Raw genomic sequence first — 23190 nt, forward strand, 5'->3', positions numbered from 1 at the left:
AGTTGAACTTTATAGTATGCTAAAATACAATATTTTATTTATTTTTTAAATCTGTACGAAAATATTTGACTTAACTGATAGTTTAAATATCTTTGAGTCTTTAAAATAATGTACAATAAGAATGTACAATAAGAATTGTTCATTAAAACAATATGCAATGTACAATATAAAATGATGTATAAAGATATAAAATAATGCACAAGAAAAGCAAATAACCAATTAAAAAAAATGAGAAATAGATCTAAATAGATACTCCATCCTAGAAGATACACAAATAACAAATAGACATATGAAAAGATAGCATCATATGACATTTGGGAACTGCAAATTAAAACAACAATGGGATACCACTATACCACTCTTAGAATGGCTGAAAACCAAAACATGAACAATGCAAATGCTGGCTAAGAGGTGAAGCAAAAGAAAAATTATTCTTTGTTAGTAGGAATGCAAAATGATACAGCCATTTTGGAAGATAGCTTTGTAGTTTCTTCTAAGAATAAACATACTTATACCATAAGATCCAGCAATCTTATCTCAGTGTCTTCCCAAATAAGAGGAAGACTTATATCTACACAAAAACCTGCACATAAATGTTTATAACAGCATTATTCATAACTGCCAAAACATGAGCTTAACCAAGATGTTCTTTAATAGATGTATAGATAAACAAATTATGGTATATCCATACAATGGAATAGTATTCATCTATAAAAAGTAATCCATTATCAAACCATGAAAACACATGAAGAATTTTAAATAAATATTGCTAAGTGAAAGAAGCCCATTGGAAAAGCCTTCATACTGTGTGGCTCCAACTTTATGACGTTCCAAAAATGGCAAACATATGGAAACTATAACATGATCTGTGGTTTCCAAGAGTGCAGGGGGAAACAGGGGAGATATAAATAGGTGGAACACAGGTATATCAGTGAAAATGTTTTGTATGATATGGTGTATACATGTAATTATATATTTGCCAAATCCTACAGAACCATACAATACAAAATGTGAACCCTGATGTAAACTATAAACTTTAATAATAATGTATCTATTGGCTCATCAATTATAACAAATGTGCCACACTGATCCAATATATTAATAGTAGAGGATATGTTGGGGAAAAAGGATCACATGGAAACTCTGTTCCTTCTACTCAATTTTTTCGTAAACTTAAAACTGCTCAAAAAATAAAGTCTACTAATTTGAAAAAAGAAAGCTAATAAAGGCTTAACATCTCTAATCCAAAAATCTGAAACCCAAAATGCTCCAAAATCTGAAACTTTGTGGGCACTGATATGACACCGCAAGTGGAAAATTCCACATGTGACCTCATCTGCCAGGATTCAGTCAAAATTCAGTGCAGAACACACAGTTTATTCAGTACCTGCAAGGAAGAAAAGACCCTCCTAGCCCCCTTCATCTGCAATATATCTTTTCTGAGCATGCCCAGATTCCTCCCTACAACCATGCCCACAAAGGGAATTACAATGGCACATATGTAAGTTTGGATGTGTCAAAGGTAGGTTCCCTATGATGCTCCACATGAGGCCATGACCTACTTGTATTACTCACTGTGTATTATTGATGATTCTCTTTCTGTGGTGTAAAAATGTGGATAATGTCAAAAAGGCATAAAGATACTCCTATGGGTAACAATGATAAAAAAAAGAGGAAGCATTTATGTTTATCTATAGCACAGAAAGTCAAGCTATTGAAGAAAATCAGTATGGTGTTGGAATAACCACCATGTATGACCTGAAGAAACAAAAGAACAAACTGTTGAAGTTCTATGCTGATACTGATGAACACATATTAAGTAAGACTAGAAAAGCACTACATAAAGCTAAAAGTGAATAACTTGAGAGTATATTTAAAGAGTGGGTGTATTAATCTGTTATCACACTGCTAATGAAGACTTACCCAAGACTGAGTAATTTATAAAGGAAAGAGATTTAATGATCTCACAGATCCACATGGCTGGGGAGGCCTCACAATCATCTAGGTGGGCAGAAGATAAAGAAAGAGCAAAGGCACATCTTACATGGTGGCAGGCAAGGGGCCTTGTGTAGGGGAACTCCCCTTTATGAAACCATCAGATCTTGTGAGACTTATTCACAATAATGAAAACAGCAAGGGAAAGACCCACTCTATGATTGATTACCTCCCACCAGGTCTCTCCCATGACACATGGGAATTATGGGAGCTACAATTCAAAATGAGATTTGAATAGGGACACAGCCAAACCGTATCATCCTACCCCTGGCCCCTTCCAAATCTCATCCTCACATTTCGAAACCAATTATGCCTTCCCAATAGTCCCCAAAAGTCTTAACTCATTACAGCATTACCTCAAAAGTCCACATTCCAAAGTCTCATCTGAGACAAGATGAGTGCTTTCTGCCTATAAGCATCTAAAATCAAAAGCAAATTTGTTACTTCCTAAATACAATGAGGATACAGGCATTGGATAAATATAGCCATTCCAAATGGGAGAAATTGGCCAAAACAAAGGGGCTATGGGTCCCATGCAAGTTGGAAATACTGTGGGGCTATAGGCCCCATGCAAGTCTAGAATATTGTGGAGCAGTCAAATGTTAAAGTTTCAAAATGATCTTCTTTGACTCCATGTCTCATATCCAGGTCATGCTGATGCAAGAGGTGGGCTCCCATGACCTGGGGCAACTCTGCCCCTGTGGCTTTACAGGGTACAGCCCTGCTCCCGTATGCCTTCATGACTGGTGTTGAGTGTGTGTGGCTTTTCCAGGCACATGATATAAGCTGTCCGTGGATCTAACATTCTGGGGTCTGGAGGATGGTGGCTCTCTTCTCACAGCTCCGCTAGGCAGTGCTACCATGGAGACTCTGTGTGAGGGATCACATCCCACATTTTCCTTCCACACTGCCCTAGCAGAAATTCTCCATGAGGGTTCCACCCCTGCAACACACATCTTCCTGGCCATCCAGGCATTTCTGTACATTCTCTGAAATCTAGGCAAAGGTTCCCAAACCTAAATTCTTGACTTCTGTGCACCTACAGGCCTAAAACCACATGTAAGCCACCAAGGTATGGGGATTGCACCATCTGAAGCCATGGCCTGAGCTCTATGTTGGTCCTTTTTAGCCATGGCTGGGATCCAGGCACCAAGTCCTGAGACCACACAAAGCAGCAAGGCCCTCAATCTGGACCACAAAACTATTTTTTCCTCCTAGGCCTCTGGGCCTCTGATGGGAGGGGCTGCTGTGAAGACCTCTGATGTGCCCTGGAGACATTTTCCCATTGTCTTGGTGGTTAACATTTGGCTCCTCATTACTTACGCAGATTTGTGCAGGTGGCTTGACTTTCTCCTCAGAAAATGGGTTTTTCTTTTCTATCACATCACAAGGCTACAAATTTTCTGAACTTTTATGCTCCACTTCCTTTTAAAAAATAAGTTCCAATTCCAAAATAAGTTACAATTGTGAATATGTAAAACTGAATGTTTTTAACAGCATTCCAATCACCTCTTAAATGTTTTGCTGGTTAGAAATTTCCTCCACCAGATCCCCTAAATCATCTCTCTCAAGTCAATGTTCCACAGATCTCTAGGGCAGGGGCAAATGCCACCAGTCTCTTTGCTAAAGAATAACAAGAGTCACCTTTGCTCCAGTTCCCAACATGTTTGTCATTTCCATCTGAGACCACCTCAGCCTGAACTTTATTGTCCATATCACTATCAGCATTTTGGTCAAAGTCATTCAACATGTCTCTAGGAATTTCCAAACTTTCCCACAACTTCTTGTCTTCTTTTAAACCCTCCAAGCTGTTCCAACCTCTGCTTGTTACACAGTTTCAAAGTTGTTCCACATTTTCTGGTATCTTTATAGCAGTGCCCCACTCTGGAACCAGTTTACTGTATTAGTCTGTTATCACACTGCAAATAAAGATATACCCAATACTGAGTAACTTATAAAAGAATGAAGCTTAATGGACTCACAGGTCCACATGGCTGGGGAGGCCTCAAAATCATGGAAGACAAGGGAAGTGCAAAGGGACATCTTACATGGAGGCAGGCAAGAGGGCTTGTGTAGGAGAACTCCCCTATATAAAACTATCAGATCTCATGAGACTTACTCACTATCACTAGAACAGCATGGTAAAGACCCACCTCCATGATTCAATTACCTGCCCCTGGATCCCTCCCATGACATGTGGGAATTATAGGAGCTACAATTCAAGATGAGATTTTGGTGGGGACACAGCCAAATCATATCAGTGGGTCTATCAGCTTGTCAGTGAGAACATGCCACTTGATGGTATGCTGATCATGAGACAAGCAGAGACAAATTACGATAAACTGAAAATTACAAGAAACTTTGAATATTGGACAGGCTGGTTTTAAAACTTTAAGAAAAGACACAGCATTAAATTTTTAAAGATTTGTGTTGAAAAAGTATCTGCGGATCATGAAGCAGTGGAGAAATTCATTGATGAGTTGGCCAGGGTCATCACTGATAAAAATTTGATGCCAGAACAGTCTATACTGCTGATTAAATATCACTGTTTTGATATTATTGTTCCAGAAAGACACTGACTACAGCTGATGAGACAGCCCCTACAGGAATTAAAGATGTCAAGGACAGAATAACTGCGCTGGTATGTGCTAATGCAGCAGGCACACCTAAATGGAAATTTGCTGTGATAAGCAAGTTTCTGTCCTCACAGTTTTCAAAAACAAAAAAATGAATTCTTATCAGTGTTTTATTATGCTAACAAAAAGACATGGGTGGGCCGGGCACAATGGCTCACACCTGTAATCCCAGCACTTTGGGAGGCCAAAGCAGGTGGATCACGAGGTCAGGAGATCTAGACCATCATGGCTAACATGGTGAAACCCTGTCTGTAATAAAAATACAAAAAAATTAGCCAGGCGTGGTGGCGGGCACCTGCAGACCCAGCTATGTGGGAGGCTGAGGCAGGAGAATGGTGTGAACCTGGCAGGCGGAGCTTGCAGTGAGCTGAGATTGCACCACTGCACTCCAGCCTGGGGGACAGAGCGAGACTCTGTCTCTAAATAAATAAATAGATATGGGTCACCAGGGACATCTTTTTGGTTAGTTTCACAAACGTTGTTACCAGTGGCTTGTGCTCACTGCAGAGAAGCCGGACTGGATGACAACTGCAAGATTTTATTATTCCTCAACAACTGTTCTGCTCATCTTTCAGCTGAAATTCTCATAAAAATAAAGTTTATGCCATGTACTTTTTATCAAATGTGACTCCATTAATTTAGCCATATGACTGGAATATCATTAGATTAATGAAGAGTAAATATAAAAACACCTTCTTGAATAGCATACTAGTAATAGTGAACAGAGGCATGGGTATGAAAGTTTTCAGAAGGAGTTTAGCATAAAGAATGGTGTATGTGCTGTTGTCAATGCTTAGAACACAGTGACTAAAGAAACAGTTGTGCATGCATGTCTGGCACAACCTCTGGCTTGTCACTATGTACAATGATAATGATGAACAAGGTGGTGATTTTGGAGGATTCTGTCCACCAAGTGAGGAAAAAGATGATTGACCTAATCACACATGCAAAAAAAATGTACCTTCACAGCTCTTAAGTAAGCTGGAAGAAGTAGATATAGAAGAAGTTTTAACACTGATAATGAGGCTACAATACTTTCTTCACTGGCTGGTGGTGAAATAGCTGAAATGGTTCTAAATCCAGGTTATTGTGATCTAGTGACTATAAAGGTGATGTTAACACTGTAGAAAAAGTGCCTATAGACAACATGGTGAAAATGTGTGATGGGCTTATTAAAGGACTACAGTAGCATGCATTCATAAAAGAACAAGAGATCATGTCAGTTTATAAAATCGAAGAGAGAATTCTAAGACAAAAGTTGTTATTAATGAGAAAGTTAACTCTGGTAGAAACATTTTAAAAAGCCATCATGAAGAATGCCTCCTCATCCATGGAGGATCCACTTCCTGGTCCCTAAACAGCTTCTGCTGTTTCTTCTCACCCAAAAAATAAAATAATGTGCACAGTAACCTTTTAGTCAAAATACAGCATCATAGATAGAGACGGAAGGCCTTTTATTGTTTGTTGTTCCAGTTGTTTAACAGCAGATCCAGGTATTCTGGTGATGCTATTGTCCTTAGTTACACTGAACATACTGTTTTTCTCACTGTATTAATGGTATGCCATATTTTTACTATTAAGTTCTTATTTGTAAGTAATAAAATTGGTAGCATATAAATTCAGTCAAGAATGATGGCAATGCCAAACAACCACACTCTTCACAAAGGTGGCTGAGATAGTGTCACCTTTGCTTTCTGATGGTTCAATGTACACAAATTTTGTCTTATGCATAAAATTATTTAAAATATTGTATAAGATTACCTTTAGGCTATGTGTATAAGGTGTATATAAAACATAGATGAATTTCATGTTTAAATTTGAGTTCCATTCCCAAGACATTTCATAATGTATATGCAAATTTTCCAAAATCCAAGATCCAAAACACTTCTGGTCTAAGGCATTTTGGATAAGAGCTACTCAACCTATAGTTATTTAGCATCTCCAAAGTCTTAAAATTAGATTTTTAAAATAAGTTAATATGTTAATTAATTAAGATAATTAGTTAAATAGAAAATTACAGAGAATGGCAAGGTAGTCTTTAACCTGGAAGAGTTTGTACATACATGGATTTAGTTTCAAAAAAGAAATGATTTACTCAAAATGAAGGCAAAGCATCTGTAGTAATTTTAGGCTTTTTAAATTCTTTTTTTTTTTTTGAGACTGTAAAAAACAGAATTTCAAGCATATGTGTGTTTTTTTAAATTGGATATTCTTAATAGGGACAAGCCCCTACTTTGGGATCAGAAGAGTCCTGAGTTTGATCTTTGCCATAGATGACACCCAGCTGTATAACATCAGCAGGTCAATTGCTAAGTTTATTTTCTCTTATTTAAGAAAAGGATAGAAGGGGAGTGGCCAAGCTGGCCAACTAGAAGCAGCCAGAGTGTGTGGCTGTCACAGAAAGGAACAGAAGGGGTGAATAAAAACAACATCTTCAACTGAAACATCCAAGTGCTCTCATTGGGATTAATCAAGGAAACAAATTGACCCACACAGAATGAAGAAAAGCAAGACAGGACAACAGCCCAACTAGGAGCAACACGGAGCCAGGGGACCCTCCCCAACCCAGGGAAGTGGTGAGTAAATGAGTGACCCCAGGAAACCATGCTTCTCCCACAGATCTTTACAACCCTCAGGTCAGGAGATCTCCTTGTGAACCCACTCCACTGGGGCCTTCAGCCTTCAGTCTGACAGAGCTACATGGAGTCTTGGCACAGCAGCCGCTCAGGCATGCATGGAGACACTGGAGCCTTAGATAATTGGGCTTTCTGGCAAAAGTAGCGGCAGCTTCAGCAAAGTGGAAGCTTAGGCTTTTGTATGTTCCCCTAGGAAAGAGGCTGAATCCAGGGGGCTGAGCAGCAATGGCCCCCAGGCCCCACTCCCATGGCACCTCACAATAGAAGCCACACTGGATTGCAATTCCAGCCAGCTACCAGTAGTGGCATTACACTTCCTAAAAAGGAGCTCCTGAGGCAAGGGATGGGCCACCATCTTTGCTGTTTGGGCACCTTAGCAATTCCAGCCTTCAGGCTTTGGAGAGTCTGAGCCAACCTGGGGTGGAAGGGATCCCCAAGCACAGCACAGCTGCTCTACCAAAACTTGTGGCCAGACTGCTGCTTTAAGCCGGTGCCTAATTCCATTCCTTCTCACCCGGTGGGACCTCCCAACTGCGGCATCCAGCCACCCCCACCCAAGCTCTCTAGCCAACAGAGATCTGAATTCCCCCTGGAATGGCGCTCCCAGAGGGAGGAGCAAGCCACCATCTTTGCTGTTGGGCAACTTAGCTGTTCCAGTCTTTGGGCTTCAGAGTGTCTGAGGTGATCGAGGGCTGAAGTGGACCCCCAGCACAGTACAGCTGCTCTAACAAAATGTGTCCAAATGCTTTTTTAAGTGGATCCCCATCCTGTTCCTCCTCACAGGGTGGAACTTCCCAGCTGAGGCCTCCAGCCACTTCTTACAAGTGCCTTTGGGCTGGCAACAGGTCTGTACCTCCCTGGGACAAAGCTTCCAGAGGGAGGGACAGGCGGCCATCTTTCCTGTTTTGCAATCTTCACTGGTGGCACCTCAAGGTTCTGGAAAATCTGAGGTGACTAGGGACTGTAGTGGGCCCTAAGCAAACCACAGTAGCCATACGGAAAAGTGGCCAGACTCACTGGGCAGTCCTCTAGTCTTGGGCCTCCAGCCACCCCCATATCTCCTCACTGGGCAGGTCCTCTACGCCTGGGCCTCCAGCCACCCCCCATCCCCACCAGAGCTATTGAGCCAGTACCAACTCAGCAACTCCCTGGAAAGAGCCTCCAATGTCAACTGAAAGCTTCTCAGCCACTGCCTCTGCAGTGGAACTGCTCTTGCCACCCTCAGACTAATGAAGGAGCAAAGGCCCTTCTCCACACCTCCAACAAGCTGCAGTTGACCCAAGGAGAGAAGGCCAGTTATTTCCCATGGGTCCCACACACACCCCATGGCTCACCACCAGACAGGTTTCTCCTTGCTTGGGCCCACAGCACAAACCCTCCATCTTGGGCTGACTGCACTGAGTGACTGCTGACCTGCATATCTCTGAGGTGGAACCCCCGGAGTCAAGCAAACTACCTTTGGCCACAACTACTGCTAAAATTTCTTCCTCTGCTACCTCTAAGCTGGAAAGGGAACATAAATACTGTAATCACCCCAGCGCTGCAATGGGCAGCCCAGGAGTGCCAAGTTGCGAACTATAGCCAGCAATCAAGGGGGAGAGAAACCCACACTTTCAGAGCACCAAGAGGGAACAAGGCTGCAACTGAGAGGAAACAAAGGGGAGCCACACAACCAAACAAGAGTCTACCAGCTGACCTATAAGCCTAAGTGTCACCTGCTGGATAACACCTCAAAGCTTCAACATCAAAAATACCTCACTAACATACCCCGCTCTGAAACCAGAAACAAGAGGTCAGCTTCAAATTAAGACTGTACACATAGCCTCAGCCAAATGAAAACATTCAGAAAAGAAGCCTACTGACTGTACTCAATCCCCACGGCAGTTAAAGGATCACCCACATGCTGATGTGAGAAAAAAACAATGCAAGAACTCTGGTAACTCAAATGTCCAGGGTGTCATATGTCCTCCAAATGACCACACCAGTTCTCCAACAAGAGTTCTTAGCCAGGTCGAACTGGCTGGATTGACAGAAATAGAATTCAGAATATGAATAGGAACAAAGATCATTGAGATTCAGAAGGATGGGGAAACCCAATCCAAGGAAAATAAGAAACACAATAAAGTGATACAGGAGCTGAAGGATGAAATAGCTGGAGTAAAAGAGAACCTAAGGAGTCTGACAGAGCTGAAAACAAAATACAGGAATTTCACAATGCAATTGCAAGTATTAACAGCAGAATAAATCAAACTGAGGAAATAATCTCAGAACTTGAAGAATGGTTCTCTGAAATAAGACAGTCACACAAAAATAAAGGAAAAAGAATAAAAAAGAATGAAGGAAACCTCCGAGAAGTATGGAATTATGTAAAGAGGCCAAGTCTACAAATCATTGGTATCCCTGGAAGGGAGGGGGAGGCAGCAAACAACTTGGAAAATATGTTTCAGGATATCATCCATGAAAACTTCTCCAACCTTTCTAGAGAGGCCAACAGTCAAATTCAGGAAATACAGAGAACTCCTGGAAAATTCTACACAAGAAGAGTATCTCTGAGACACAAAATTGTCAGATTTTTCAACAATGAAAGGAAAGAAAGAATGTTAAAGGCAGCTAGAAAGAAAGGGCAGGTCACCTACGAAGTGATCCCCATCAGGCTAAAAACAGACCTCTCAAGTGAAACCTTATAAGCCAGAAGAGATTGGGTGCTTATATTTAACATTCTTAAAGAAAGAAATCTTCAACCAGGAATCTCATATCCAGTCAAACTAAGCTTCCTAAGTGAAGGAGAAATAAGACCCTCTTCAGATAAGCAAATGTTGAGGGACTTTATTACCATCAGACCTGCTTTATGAGAGATCTTACAAGGAGTACTAAATATAGAAAGAAAGTACTGCTACCAGCTAATAAAAAAACACACTTAAACACACAGAACAATGTCACACATAAACAAGCCAACCTAATAAGCACAACAAGCCAGCTAAAAGCACAATGACAGGATCAAATCCACACATATCAATACTAACCTTGAGTGTAAACAGGCTAAATGTCCCGCTTAAAAGACAGAGTGGCAAGATGGATAAAAAAGCAAGACCCAATCAATGGTAGGCTGTCTTCAAGAGACCCATCTCCCATGTAATGACACTCATAGGCTCAAAATAAAGGGATGGAAAAAAGCCTCCAAGCAAATGAAAAAAAGCAAAAAAGCAGGGTTTCAATTTTAATTTTAGACAAAACAGATTTCAAACCAACAATGATCAAAAAAGACAAGGGAGGGCATTACATAATGCTAAAAGGGTTCAATTCAATAAGAAGACCTAACTATCCTAAATATGTATGCACCTAACACGGGAGCACACATATTCACAGATACTTAGGGTGAAGATGAGAAAAAAAAAACTCCCCCTGCTTCCTTAAGCGGTAGAAGAATTTAACCATTTCAAATACACTCATTGTGTTCTGTTCTCAATAACAAAGACCTGTTCTCAAGGGAAACTGTTTTGCCAGAGCCTAACCTACCTACAGAGAAAGGGAAGATAAATACCCATCTCCAGCAACCCTCAGGATTCCTGTCTCACCTAAGGGGATTGAAGGGAAGCTGAGTTCTTGTGAAGGTCACAGCTTAGAGATACTGGGCCACTTAAAGACTGAGATATGATGTGGGAATACAAAATGTTTCTGACCCCTCAACCCTTGCCCCTGTATCTACAGACCTCCTGTATGATAACTGAAAATTAAAACTGAAACAAATGTAAGATTCAACCTTCTTCAAGAAGGAATCTCTAGGAAAACTGAAAAGTAATGTGAGAGACAAAAATGAGGTCAGAAGAGGAAAATTTAGCCCCTGATAACTACAGTTGTAACGAATGGTAAACACAGTCTAACTCTTAGCCAGAAAATCATAAACCCTAAGATGACTATAAACTTTTTTAACTTAGTAATATGTATTTAAGTTTCATCCATGTAATTTTATGGCTTAATAGCTCATTTCTTTTTTATTGTTAAAGAATATTCTGTCATATGGGTATGTTATAATTTATATACTCACATATTGGATTATATCTTGTTGCTTCAAATTTTGGGTAATTATGAATAAAGTTTTTAAAAACTTACACGTGCACAATTTTGTGTGGACATGGGTTTTCAAATCAGTTAGGTAAATGGATAGGAGTGCAATTTCTGAAAAATGTAGTAAAATTTTGTTCTTCTCTGTAAGAAACTGCCAAGCTCTTTTCCAAAGTGTCTGTATTATTTTGCATTCCTGCCAGCAATGAAAGAGATTTCTTATTGCTCTACATTCTTGCTAGCATTTTGTATTGTCAATTTTGTTTGATTAAAGCCATTGTAACAGGTATATAATGGTATCTTATTTTTGCTTAAATTTGCAATTTCTTAATTACATATTATGTTGAGCATTTTTTTCATGTAGTTATTTATCATCTGTATACCTTCTTTGCTGAGGTGTCTGTCAAGATCTTTTGCCTATTTATTTATTTATTTATTTATTTTAACATTTATTTTCATTTCAGTGGTACATGTGCAGATTGGTTTCATAATTAAATTGTATATTGTGGTGGTTTGTTGTACATATTACTTCGTCATCCAGTTAATAAGCATAATGCCAAATAGATAGTTTTTCAGTCCTCACCTTCCTCTCACCCACCAACCTCAAGTAGGCCCTGGTGTCTATTATTTCCTTCTTTGTGTCCTTGTGTGCTCAGTTTCGAGCTCTCACTTGTAAGGGAGAACATGTGGTGTCTGGTTTTCTGTCCTAAATTAGTTCAATTAGGATAATGGCCTCCAGCTCCATCCATGTTACTGCAAATGACATGACCTCATTCTTTTTTATGACTGCATAGTATTCCATGGCATATATGTACCACATTTTCTTTATCCAATCTACCATTGATGGGCATTTAGGTTGATTCCCTGTCTTTACTATTGTAAATGGCTGGAATGAACATATGTGTTTATGTGTCTTTATGGTAGAATAATTTATATGACTTTGGGTATATACCCAAAATGGTATTGCTGGGTTAAATGGTAGTTCTACCTTCTTTGATAAATCTCAAAAGTTCTTTCCACAGTGGCTGAACTAGTTTAGATTCCCACCAGCAATGTATAAGCGTTCTCCTTTCTCTGCAACTTTGCCAGCATCTACTGGTTTTTGACTTTTTAATAATAGCCCTTCTGACTGGTGTGAGATGGTATCTATCTCATTGTGATTTGGATTTGCATTTATCTGATGATTAATGATGTCGAGCCTCTTTTCATATGTTTGTTGGCTACATATATGTCTTCTTTTTAAAAGTATCTGTTAATGTCGTTACTTTTTAATTAGGTGGTTTGCTTTTTGATTGTTAATTTGTTCAAGTTCTTTATTGATTCTGGATATTAGACCTTTATCAGATGCATAGTTTGCAAATATTTTATCCCATTTTGTGGGATATTTATTTACTCTGTTGATAGTTTCCATTGCTGTGTAGAAACTCCTTAGTTGTATTAGGTCTCATTTGTCAATATTTATTTTTGTTACAATTGGGTTTGAGGACTTAGTCATAAATTCTTCCCTAAGGCTGATGTCCAGAATGGTGTTCATTAGGTTTTATTCAAGGATTTTTATAGGAAAGGGTCCAGATTCAGTCTTCTGCATATGGCTAACCAGTTATCCCAGCACCATCCACTGCTTGTTTTTGTCAAGATCAGATCATTGCAGGTATGTGACTTTATTTCTGGGCTCTCTATTCTGTTCCATTGTTCTATGTGTCTCTTTGTACTAATATCATGCTGCTTTGGTTACTGTAACCTTGTAGTATAGTTTGAAGACAGGTAATGTGATGCCTCCAGCTTTGTTCTTTTTGCTTATGATGCTTTGGCTATTGTGCTCATTTTTGGTTCCTTGTTAATTTTAGAATACTTTTTTCTAATTCTGTGAAGAATGTCATTGGCAGTTTGATAGGAATAACACTGAATTTGTACGTTGCTTTGGACATTATGGCCATTTTAATAATATTAATTCTTCCTATCTATAAGCACAGAATGTTTTTCTATTTGTTTGTGTAGTCTCTGATGTTTTTCATCAGTGTTTCATAATTCTTATTGTAGAGATCTTTCACCTCCCTCATTAGCTGTATTCCTAGGTATTTTATTTTTGTGTGTGGCTATAGTGAATGTTGCTCATTTTTAAAATTGGGTTGTTTATTTTCTTATTCTTGAGTTTCAAGTGTTCTTGTATATGTCGCATATATATCAGATATTTGTTTTGCAAATTTTTTTTCTGAGTCTATGGCTTGTTTCTTTTATTCTCTTTGCAGTGCCTTTTTCATAGTAAAAGTTTTTAATTAAAAAAGTTTCATATCATGTTTTTCTTCATGGTTTGTACTTCTGATATTTTATCTACAAAGTCAAGCCAAAAGCAAGATCCCCCATATTTTCTTCTGGAAATTTTATAAGTCTAGGATGAATTCTAACTTAATTATTTGTGTAAGGTGCAAGTTCAATGAGGTACATTTTTGTATATCAATGTCCACTTATTCCAACATCATTTGTTGGAAAAACTAATCCTTTACATTTAAATTGCCTTTGTCAAAGATCAGTTGACTATATATGTTTGGGTCTATTTGTGGCATTTATATTTTGTTCTATTTATGTATTTCTATATTCTTTGACCAATACCATGCTGTCTCGATAACAGTAGACATATAGTAAGCCTAGAAATAGATTGTGTACATCACATATACTCAAACTTGGTTCTTCTTAAGTTTTTGTTGGCTATTCAAGGTCTTTTCCCTTTTTGTATAAACTTTAGAATAAATTTTGTTTAATGTGGCATTGAATCAGTAGATCAAGTTAAGAAAAATGAACTTTTTAACAATATTGAGTTTTTTTATCCTTTCTTTTCTTTTTTTTTTTCTTTTTTTTTTTTTTTTTGAGATGGAGTCTTGCTCTGTCACCAGGCTAGAGTGCAGTGCAGTGGTGTGATTTTGGCTCACTACAACCTCCGCCTCCCAGGTTCAAGTGATTCTCCTGCCTCAGCCTCCTGAGTAGCTGAGACTATAGGCATGCACCACCACACGCAGCTAATTTTTGTAGTTTTAGTAGAGATGAGGTTTCACCATGTTGGCCAGGATGGTCTCAATCTCTTGACCTTGTGATCCACCCACCTCAGCCTCCCGAAGTGCTGGGATTATAGGCATGAGCCACCGTGCCCGGCCAACAATATTGAGTCTTTTAATTCATGAGCTATTTTTCCATATTTAGAGCTTCTTCAACTTTTTTCATTAGTATTTTATAGTTTACTCATATATTGGTTTTTAAATATATTTTGTTAGATTTATACCTGAGTATTTCCTTTTTAGTGATATTATAAATGACCTGTTTTCAAATTTCAAATTATAAATATTCCTTGCTTGTATATAAGAAAGCAATTGAATTTTTTTTTTTTTTTTTTTTTTTTTTTTTTTACTGTAAGCTCTGGGATACATGTGCAGAATGTGCAGGTGTGTTACATAGGTATATATGTGCCATGGTGGTTTGCTGCACCTAACAACTCATCATCTAGGTTTTAAGTCCCACATGCATTAGGTGTTTGTCCTAATGCTCTCCCTCCCTGTATTCCCCACTCCCCAACAGGCCCTGGTATGTAACGTTTCCCTCCCTGTGTCCATGTGTTCTCATTGTTCAACTCCCACTTATGAGTGAGAACATGCAGTGTTTGGTTTTCTGTTCCTGTGTTTGCTGAGAATGATAGCTTCCAGCTTCATCCATGTCCCTGCAAAGGACATGAACTCATTCTTTTTTTTATGACTGCGTAGTATTCCATGGTGTATATGTGCCACATTTTCTTTATCCAGTCTATCATTGATGAGCATTTGGGTTGGTTCCAAGTCTTTGCTATTGTAAATAGAGAAAGCAATTGACTTTTATATGTCAACCTTATATCCTGCAACTTTGCTATAATTGCTTATTAGTTCTAGGAGTTCTAGAAAATTTTAAATAGATTATTTTTTTGTTGAAGATTAAATATTTCTGTTCATACTCTTCTTTCTTGCATGTTTTCTGGCAGGAAGTATAATTCTTATATTTATTCCTTTACAGCGAATGTCTCTTACTGCCCCCACTTTGATGTATGTATGTGCCAGTATGTATGTAAGTATGTGCCAGTAAGACATAATAAGGCATATAACTTCTTAAGATTTATTTTTGACCATTATGAATTAAAAGGAGAAATCAGTAACAAATTTCTGGAAAAAATACCAATGAGAAATTAAATAGTGCCTGTATATTGGATAAAGGGCATAAAATATATATTTCTAAATTATTTATAGAATAATGAATATTGCATCAAATCTTATATGAAGTAGTGAGAGACAAACGTACTGGAGAAATCCAGTCTTAAATTATTTCATTTGGAAATAGTGACTGGGAGGCCAAGGCGGGCGGATCACGAGGTTAGGAGATGGAGACCATCCTGGCTAACATGGTGAAACCCCATCTCTACTAAAAATACAAAAAAAAAATTAGCCGGGTGTGGTGGCGGGCGCCTGTAGTCCCAGCTACTCGGGAGGCTGAGGCAGGAGAATGGCGTGAACGCAGGAGGCAGAGCTTGCAGTGAGCCGAGATCATGCCACTGCACTCCAGCCTGGGCTACAGAGCGAGACTCCGTCTCCAAAAAACAATAAATAAATAAAATAAAAAATAAATAAAAGGAAAGTTCTGAGTCATCATAGGAAGTTAAAAGAAATCAGCAAAATCTGCCTAAGAAATATAAATAAATAAATAAAATAAAAATGAAGTTATCTTAATTCACCTATGGGCTGTGGAACAGAAATCAAGCAACTCATTATTAGAATAATTCTTTATTTGAAATTAGTGGGCTTCAGAAGTTTCAAAGGAGTATTCCAACTTGAGGAAAAGGGCTGGTTTTTTTTTGTTGTTGTTGTTGTTTTAAATAAGATGGTCACCTGATTTATAGCATAGTTTCTGGAAAATTCTCTCAAGAAATAAATTGCTCTTTTGAATTACTCGCCATTGTTTTTGCAATTTAGATTGTATCAAGGGGGTGGAGAGCAGCATTTAGGGGATTAGGTCACACGTAAGAGGGAGGAGGAGGAACGGCTGTCGGCTACGATTACATGAGTGGGCCACAGAGGAAAGTTTCCAGTTCTTCAATATCTCAGGCATGAGGTAAATAAACCTGTTGACCAGACTCTAAGGTGTTCTTTACTTCATGGTCCCAGGCTTCTGGTATTCATGCGTTCATATAATCCTTGCTCATAACTTCTTTGTGACTATTAGGATATGTCACAGATAATGGGATGAAATGCTCATGATTATGTTATTTTATATAAAAGACTCCATCTTGCTAGCCGACTCATTCTAGATGCTCTCTTTGTTGGTTTAATAGAATAAGTGGGGATATTGGGAAAGTGTATGTGACAAGGAAAAGCGAGAAGCTTATAGGAGCTGAGGATGACTGCAAGCTGACAAGTAGCAGGATGTTAGCATGCTCAGTCTTACAACCAAATGGAAATTGATACTGTCAACTTGGGTGGGCTTGTAAGCAGATTCTTCCTGGCCAAGCTGCTATATGCAAACACAGACCAGACCACAGCTTTATTACAACGCTGAGCTACTCAAATCAGGGGACTCAGTTAAGCTGTGCCTAGGCTTCTGACCCATAGAAACTGAAATAATAAATGTATGTCATTTTAAGCCATAAAGCTTGTGGTAAACTGATGTCCAGCCATGCATAAGTCACACAATGCCAAGGAAAAAAAAAACCTAGAAAACTGTAACATTGGTGAAAATCTATCTGTTTTCATACATGGGAGATTTTACTAAGCACAGAATGGTGAAAGACAAAATAGAACTATTGTAAATTTTAATACATATAAATTAAGAACTGCCTATAATAAAGGAAAATACACATAATATCACACAGCAATGTGCATATATTTGCAAAAATTAAATTGCATATATAGGTGCAATGTGTGTAACAAAGACAGTATAGTCAAATGAACAGCAAAAAGATGAACAACAAAACTTAAAAATTAATAGTTTTAGAAATTAATTCATTAAATAAATTATAGGAGGAAATATGTGTAAATAAAATTAGAAAGAAATAAACGTGAAAGTGACAATTATAGCAAGGTATAATTTTCTATCAACTTAGCAAAAATTTAAAATGCTTCTGTTTTTGGTGCAGTTAAATTGGCACAATTTTATGGGAGTGATTTTAAAATGTATATAATTAGCCTTAGATTATACTGTAGCACATCCTCTTAACAGTAGATTTTCCCTGGAATTCTTTTCAAGGAAATAAAAAATTTACTCATTTAACAAATAAGTGTATAACTTTATAAATTTTTACTAGGTGAACACATTATTATAACAGCATACAGGTTGAAAAACACATTACTTTCACTCCATAAACCACTTATGCCTATTTCCAGTAATTACTATTTTTCAACACCCAACTCTAAAGAAAGTATCCACTATCCTGATTTCACACACTCTCACTTACCTGACTTTTTAATTATAACTGTTTTGATGAGTGTGCAATGTAACTTGTGGTTTTATTTTGCATTTTTCTAATGGCTAAACAGATTAAATACCTTTCCATTATTTATTGGTCATATAAATATCTTCTTTTATGAAATCCTGGACAAGTTATTGGCCATTTTTCTATCACATTTTATTTTTGTTTTATTGATTGTCGAATTTCTTTATGTATTCTGAAAGAGTCGTTTGTTGGATAAATATACTGAAAATATTTTTGCTCATGCTTTGGTTTGTCTTTGCACTTTCTCAATGTGGTCTTTGACAGAGAGTTCCTATTTTAATGTAGCAAAATATATCAACTCTTTCTTTATGGGTCTTGCTTTAAACGTCCTATTTAAAAAATAGTTACCTACCTTTAGGTTTGCAGATCCTCTTCTATGTTTTCCTCTAAAAGCTTTCTTTGCTTAGCTTTTAAATTCGTATTGACAATTCATCTGAGATTTATTTTTAAGATTTGTGTTAGGTAGAGATTAAGATTCTTCCTTTCCCCAGTCCCCACTCCACCCACATAAAGAGATCCAGTGTATATGTATCCAGCACCATGTATTAAGAAGATCCTTTTTCATTTGGAAATCAGTGTCTTCTTCTTTGTAGTTGCAATCCTCTAATGGTACCTGGATCTTTCTGGTGGCCAGCACTCAACCTGAAGCTATCTAGGGATGCCCCCTTGCCCCCTACCACCAGTCTCATTAGCATAAAAAATCACTGTTATTATTCTGGAGGTTCCAAGAGTCTTACGCTCTTGTGTAGAAACTGGGGACAAAGACCAAATATTATTAACAGAAGATGTCCCTGCAACCCCCTATCACTCAGGAAGCTACAAAGGTTTTTATAAACTCTATTACAGGAAACTGGGACAGAGACCACATATATATTCATTTTAGGGTACAATACCACATTTAAAATATTGTTAAATTTTATTTTTAAGTTGTTGATAATATAGAGAACACAAATAATTTTTATATGTTAACTTTGTAATTTTAAACCTTGCCAAATTCCCTCAATAATCCTAACAGTTTGTAGTTGCATTCTTTGAAGTCTCTATATATATGACCATTTCATCTGTAAATAATGATAGTTCAAATCCCTATACATTTTATTGTATTGTATTTGCCTTATTGCACTCTTTAGAACTTTTCTTATAGTATTGCACCATATATCTCTTTTAATTTCAATGTCTTTATATTCTTAAGGATTTGCCTCTTGAAAGAGAAGGCAGTTGTGTTTGCGTTTGTTTTCTATGCAGTCTGACAGTCTTAGTCATCAAATGGAATCTTTAATTTATATGTATATTTAATGCAGTTATTGTTATTGATGTATCCTAAATTTTTCTGTATTTTTATTTTTTTCACAGTACTATGTTCTCCTTTCCTCCTTTTTTGATTTGTTTTGGATTAAGGGTATTTTATCATTCATTTTCCCTGTGATTACCTTGTTAATTTTACATTTTTTAGTTGTTTTTAAAATATATTTTCCTAGAGACTAAAATATGTATCCTTGGATTTTAGCATATATCAATAATTTTAGAAAGTAGTCATAAAAATTGCCAAAAACATAGAAAACTTACTCCCACTAGTTTTTATAATTCATGTCATGTATTTTGACTCTACCTATATTAAAACCCACCAGACATCATCATCATTATTATTGTAATTGTAGTACTTAGTAGGTTTTGATTTGATTGCTTGTTCAGTGGCTTTTCTTTCTTTATTACTTGGTTTTTGCTTGAGATCATTTTTTTGTCTGTGTGAAGAATTCCGTGAATAACTTGTTTACTGCAGGTGCATTGATGAGAAATTTTGTTTTGGTTTGAATACAAAATTCTTTATTTCACCTTCACCATCTAAAAATGTACACTATAGCAGCGAGCCAAGATCGTGCCACTGCACTCCAGCCTGGCAATAGAGTGAGACTCCGTCTCAAAAAAAAACCCAAAACAAACAAACAAAGAAAACCACTTGGGGAGGCCGAGGCGGGGGGATCACGAGGTCAAGAGATTGAGACCATCCTGGCTAACACGGTGAAACCCCGTCTCTACTCAAAAATACAAAAAATTAGCCGGATGTGGTGGCGGGCGCCTGTAGTCCCAGCTACTGAAATGGCTTAATACAGTATGCTAACATGAACACCTGTGTTACCTTACCCAAGTGAAGAAATAGACGTTTGCCAAACATCTTACACATCTCGTTCATGCGCCTCAACCCAATCCAACATCCTTCCTCTTCCTAGAGAAAATAATGATTCTATCAACTGTATTAATCATCTCCTAGCATCTTTACAAAAAGTCCTACATTCTTTTAAAGAAATATTATTTCAAGACAAAAATCTGTAAGGTAAGGATGGTACTTCCCATTGATTTAGTCATTTTTCTTGGCAATTTCAGTGTACAGAGCTAGGGTACAAACATATATATTCATGAGTTCATATTAAAATTCTAATTCAAAATTAAACCACAGAGATTTTATTATTCTACTCTCTATTACATTGTATTTACATGTTGAGTACATTGGTTCTAAGGAACATAGATATTGATAGAAATAGAATACAGCCATAATTAAATGTAAGATTACATATTGAGTATATTGGTTCCAAGGAACATAGACATTGATAGAAATAAAATATGCCATAATTCAATCTAAGATTTATTTCATATTTTATACACTTAACAATACTAATGATATCACCAATAGAATTATAGAAAACATAAAAATTTTCATATGCTTCTGTCATTCTTCTCATTTTAAAAAACTTATTCTATATCTACATTGATATAACTAACATCTATTTATTACACAAAATATACTGCTCCTCTCAAAACTCATTTAATCTTAAGTGGTTCTATATGTAATAATTAATAAATGCTCACCAACCTTTCTTATCACACTTCATGGTGATGTCCTTCCAGTCATTTTGATTTTCTAAAGCTTATTCCCTGGCAAGATACTTTATGAAATTTTCAAGCAAACACAATTCCCTGATTTTTTGCATGTTGAAAAGTTTGTTATATTTATACTTTAGATTAAGTTTCTATTTTTTAAGATAAAATTCTTTACTTATACCTGCATTTTTTTACTATTTAAATATTCCAATTTTCACTGGCGTAAAAACTTGTTCTTAAAACATCTGATGATAATCTAATTTTCTTTCCCCTTATAAGTCATGTTCCTTCTTTTAGAGCACCAAAGATTTTTAGAAAAAAATGCATGCAATAATTTTACCAGAATATACTTTGGTGTTGAAAATTTAGGTTAATATTCTCAGTTTTGTGGGCCCCTTTCAAAATATAGTTTTAAATTCCATTTGAGAAAATTTTTTTGAATTATATTTTTGGTATTGTCTTATTTCTTCAATTTGATTTTCCTCCCCAGATATTACACATATTCAGATGTTCAAAATTCTTAGGCAATATTAGCATTCCTCAATTTCCTAGAAGTTTTCACATCTTTTAAAAACTTATTTTATATTTTTAAAGTTCTTTTCCTTTTGATTTTTTATTCTGCTTGACACATTTTTTTGTGTTCATTTGCTGTGTGCTTCTTCTATTTAAGCCTTCCTTTTTAAAATAAATTTTTCTCTTTTTAATTGACTTCTGTGCTTTCCATTTTTTATATTCTTTCTTATCTTCTATAATTTTCTTAATATTCTTTATTTTGTTTTGAAATAAGTTATAGTTTTGTTTTGTTCTGTGGGCACCTATTTCTAGCATGTTTTCATAGTCTGTAAGAATGTTACATTAATCTACTCTCACGCTGCTAAAAGAACACCTGAGACTGGGTAATTTAAAAAGGAAAGAGATTTAATTGGATCACACTGAGGCATGGCTGGGGAAGCCTCAGGAAACTTACAATCATGGCAGAAGGGGAAGCAAACACGTCCTTCTTCACATGGGGGCAGGAGAGAGAAGTGCAGAGTGAAGGTGGGAATAGACCCTTAAAAAACCAACAGAGCTTGTGAGAACTAAATCACTATCACCATAACAGCATGGGGGAAACACACCAATGATCTAATCATATCCCACGAGGTCCCTCCCTCAACATATGGAGTTTACAATTCACATTACAATTGATGAGATTTGCGTGGGGACACAGAGCCAGACCATGCCATTCTGCCCCTGATCCCTCCCAAATTTAGTCTTTCTCACATTTCACAACACAATTACTCCTTCCCAACAGTTCCCTAGTCTTAACTCATTTTAGCAGTAACCCAAAAGTCCAAGTCCATAGTCTCATCCGAGGCAAGGCAAGTTCCTTCTGCCTATGAACCTGTAAAATCAAAACCAAATTACTTCCAAGAAACAATGGGGGTACAGGCATTGGTAAATAACTCCTATTTCAAATGAAAGAAATTGGCCAAAACAAAGTCGCTATGGGCTCCACGCAAGTCCAAATCCCATAGGGCAGTCATTAAACCTTAAAGTTCCAAAATGATCTCCTTTGACTCCAGGTCTTATATCTGGGGCACACTGATGTAACAGGTGGGCTCCCACAGCCTTGGGGAGGTCCACTCCTGTGGCTTTGCAGGGTATAGCTGCATTGTGCACATGGAAAATGCCAGCTCAGGAAAGCACCCAGGAGGGCAGCTGTACCCTGCAAAGCCCTATGAAGCAATGGCCTGAGTTGTACCTTGGCTCCTTTTAGCCATGGTTGGAGCTGAAGCAGCTGGGATGCAGGGTACCATGTACCGAGACTGCACACAGCAGGGTGACCCTGGGCCCAGCCCACGAAACCATTTTTCCCTCTTAGGCTCCAAGCCTGTGATGGGAAAGGATGCCAGGAAGTTCTCTGACAGGCTCTGGGGACATTTTCCCCCATTGTCTTGGTGATTAACATTTGGGTCCTCATTTCTTATACAAATTTCTGCAGCAAACTTCAATTTCTCCCAAGTTAATGGTGTTCTTTTTTCTATTGTATCATCAGGCTGCCAATTTTTCACTTTTATGCTATGCTTCCTCTTGAATGTTTTGCTGCTTAGAAATTTCTTCTCCCAGATGCCCTACATCATCTCTCTCAAGTTCAAGGTTCCACAGATCTCTAGGGAAGGGGCAAAATGCTACCAATCCCTTTGCTAAAGCATAGCAAGAGTCACCTTTGTTCCAGTTCCCTACAAGTTCCTCATCTCCGTCTGAGACCATCTCAGTCTGGACATTATTGCCCATATCACTCTCAGCATTTTGGTCAAAGCCATTTAACCAGTCTCTTGGAAGTTGCAAAATTTTCCACATTTTTCTGTCTTCTTCTTCATCCTTTAAACTATGCCAACCACCACCTGTTAGCCATTTCCAAGGTCACTTCCACATTTTTGGATATCCTTATAGCAGACCCTACTCTCTGCCATACCAATTTACTGTATTAGTCCATTCTCAC

General features: G+C 37.5%; 1 long non-coding RNA gene across 4 annotated transcripts in view, besides 1 other annotated feature; it reads left to right on the forward strand.

Moving 5' to 3' along the window:
* LOC105375630 (uncharacterized) overlaps window positions 1-23190 on the forward strand; it is a 559756-nt gene that overhangs the window by 121388 nt on the left and 415178 nt on the right. The window lies entirely within an intron of this gene.
* Window positions 10241-11082: an enhancer, noted in NCBI's record as "OCT4-NANOG hESC enhancer chr8:89471701-89472542 (GRCh37/hg19 assembly coordinates)". NCBI's record gives its function as "activates a minimal SCP1, AML or CMV promoter by ChIP-STARR-seq in naive and primed H9 embryonic stem cells {active_cell/tissue: H9 hESC(naive and primed)}" and the evidence as "EXISTENCE:reporter gene assay evidence [ECO:0000049][PMID:30033119]".

Source organism: Homo sapiens, chromosome 8 (genome assembly GCF_000001405.40).
Source record: "Homo sapiens chromosome 8, GRCh38.p14 Primary Assembly".
Classification (NCBI taxonomy): domain Eukaryota; kingdom Metazoa; phylum Chordata; class Mammalia; order Primates; family Hominidae; genus Homo; species Homo sapiens.